Below are 2,437 nucleotides of genomic sequence, written 5' to 3'. Positions count from 1 at the left end.
CACCAGTGAAGCTGCCTTTCTACCTGGTCTTCCCTCTATCCCCCATACACACACACATCAGCCTATCTACCACAGCACAGCAAAGACAATCTTGGTAAGACACAACCCTGTATGAATAATTCCTCTGCTAAAATTTATGTGTTGTCTTCTTGAGTCCTATAAAGCAAACTTTGAATTCCTTAGCCCCATATATAAAACCTTTGCATCAGTCCTCTGTTCCCCTGTTTATCTCATTTTCTCCCTCCTGCCTGCACTCCCAGAATCAGATAATTATAGGTTCGGCCTCCACAAACGTGGGCATGCTTTGCTTTCTGCCAGGGTCGCCCTTTTTCAACACATTTACCTGGCAAATGTCTACTCCCTTTGCTGCACGGAGCTCTAACCATTGCCTACTTAGGTGCAAAGAGGAGTTATTCCAGAGAATATTGGTCCTGCTCTATCCAAGCTCCATTGCAACAGAGTGTCCTCATTCATTTATGTTCTGGTATCTCACATGGAACCATGAGCTTCTCCCAAGCAGGGTTTGTCATCTTCATCTTCACACCCATAGGTTTCAGCAAATCTGATGAAAGAATGAATGGTTGTCTTACAGCTTCCATCAATGGAAGGCTTCCTTCGTGTTGGGCACTGTGATAAACAACTTACACTCATATCGCATTTAGCCTCCTGACATAAGGAAACTAAGGCTAAGAAAACTAAGTTACTTGCCCAAAGCCTTCCAGTGATTAAACCACAGAATAGGGACTGGAACTCAGGACTCAGCAACGAACGCCAACATATATTTAATGAGCATTGACAGTGTTCAGGACAGATCATGATAGTTCGCTGGTTTGGCTAGAAAATGTTTTAAAATACCTCTTTTTAAATAACAGGGCCCAGGGAGGAAGGGAGATATTGCCCTTTCAAAAATGTCAGTAACACAACTCGAAGGCAGCAAAGAGGAGAGGGAGTGAGGCAGGCTGGTAAGCACTCCTGATGAGAGGAGCCTTCTCTGCATTCATTCCCAAATATGGGAAAGGAGGGGACTTAACATTCCCAGAAGAACAGCTCTGGGTAATAAAAAAGGAAGCACTTTGACCTTAGAGGTCTGGAACGTGTGAATAAGGTGGGCTGCATTTTGCTTCTAATGCTTATGGCCCACTTTTCCATGCTCCAGGGTCCAAATTTTACAAGTCAATGGGAAATTTTGCTCTAAACACCCTTTTACCTACAAACACATTTTTGATCATAGCAACCAACACGCAGTAGCACAGTGATCCCCAAATCCACTTGCCAACCCTCCCCCTTGCATAGGTTGCTGACTTTGTCTGGAAGCTTCATTCCCTCCCCATCCCCCGAGCTAATTGCTCACATCTCTCCAAGCTCAGCTCACTGGTCTCCTCCAGGAAGGCTTCATCCTGCATTTACCTACAATACACACTGCATTTACCTACAATACACACACACACACACACACACACACACACACACACACACACACACACACACACGAAACTCTCACTCTCAGAAGTGAATTGGCCTTGAGGCTAATAATGCCTAAGCCTCAGGGCCTCTCCCGACAGGGGCCTCTTTGAGTGGCAGGCATCATTGAGGGAGTGTTCTAAGTGGGGAAGAGAAGGCAGAGAGCAATAAACAAGACTTTATATGTACATTTTTTTTTTTTCCGGTAAATTGCCCAAAGAAAACCCAGAAGAAAGAGATCTGCATTGCAAAAGTTTCCAGGAATCTGTTGTGATTTATTTTCTCATTCTAAACAAATATTTACTCATGCACTTTAATACCTAATTTTGTTATTTTATTTTGTTGTTATGATTTCTAAGAGACCCTCAGTAAATAGTATAAGCTTTAGGCCCCACAGATTTTGCGTCTGCCCCTTCACTCTGTATTAAAACTGAGTCTGTTTCTTGATCTTCTCCACTCAGGTTCAAGCTCCTTGATGGACGTCTTACTTACCTTTGCATTTTCAGAGCACAGTTACTGACACACATTAGGTGTGTTTTTTACACTTCCATACCCCATAAATGAGAATACAAGAATAAATCTCCCATTTCTGAGGGGATAGGACAATCTGCCCTCTTAAATCGCACGTGGAGCCTTTGACCAGGAAAATCAAGCTGCTCTTGTGGAATGCTAGCAAGCACGCTGGGCATGGTGGCTCACGCCTGTAATCCCAGCACTTTGGAAGGAGGGCGGCTCACTTGAGCCAGGAGTTCAAAACCAGCCTGGCCAACATGGTGAAACCCCATCTCTACTAAAAAATACAAAAATTAGATGGGCGTGGTGGCATACGCCTATAGTCCCAGCTACTCAGGAGGCTGAGGCAGGAGAATCACTTGAACCTGGGAGGTGGAGATTGCAGTGAACCAAAATGGCACCACTGCACTCCAGCCTGGGGGACAGAGTGAGACTCAGTCTTCAAAATAAAACAAAACAAAAC

At 44.4% G+C, this 2,437-nt stretch overlaps 1 annotated feature.

Moving 5' to 3' along the window:
• Positions 1,196 to 1,757: an enhancer, noted in NCBI's record as "OCT4-NANOG-H3K27ac hESC enhancer chr8:127422275-127422836 (GRCh37/hg19 assembly coordinates)". NCBI's record gives its function as "activates a minimal SCP1, AML or CMV promoter by ChIP-STARR-seq in naive H9 embryonic stem cells {active_cell/tissue: H9 hESC(naive)}" and the evidence as "EXISTENCE:reporter gene assay evidence [ECO:0000049][PMID:30033119]".

This window comes from Homo sapiens, chromosome 8 (genome assembly GCF_000001405.40).
Source record: "Homo sapiens chromosome 8, GRCh38.p14 Primary Assembly".
Lineage (NCBI taxonomy): Eukaryota > Metazoa > Chordata > Mammalia > Primates > Hominidae > Homo > Homo sapiens.
The sequence above is the reverse complement of the archived record's forward strand: the minus strand, read 5'-3'. Positions and strand labels throughout refer to the sequence as shown.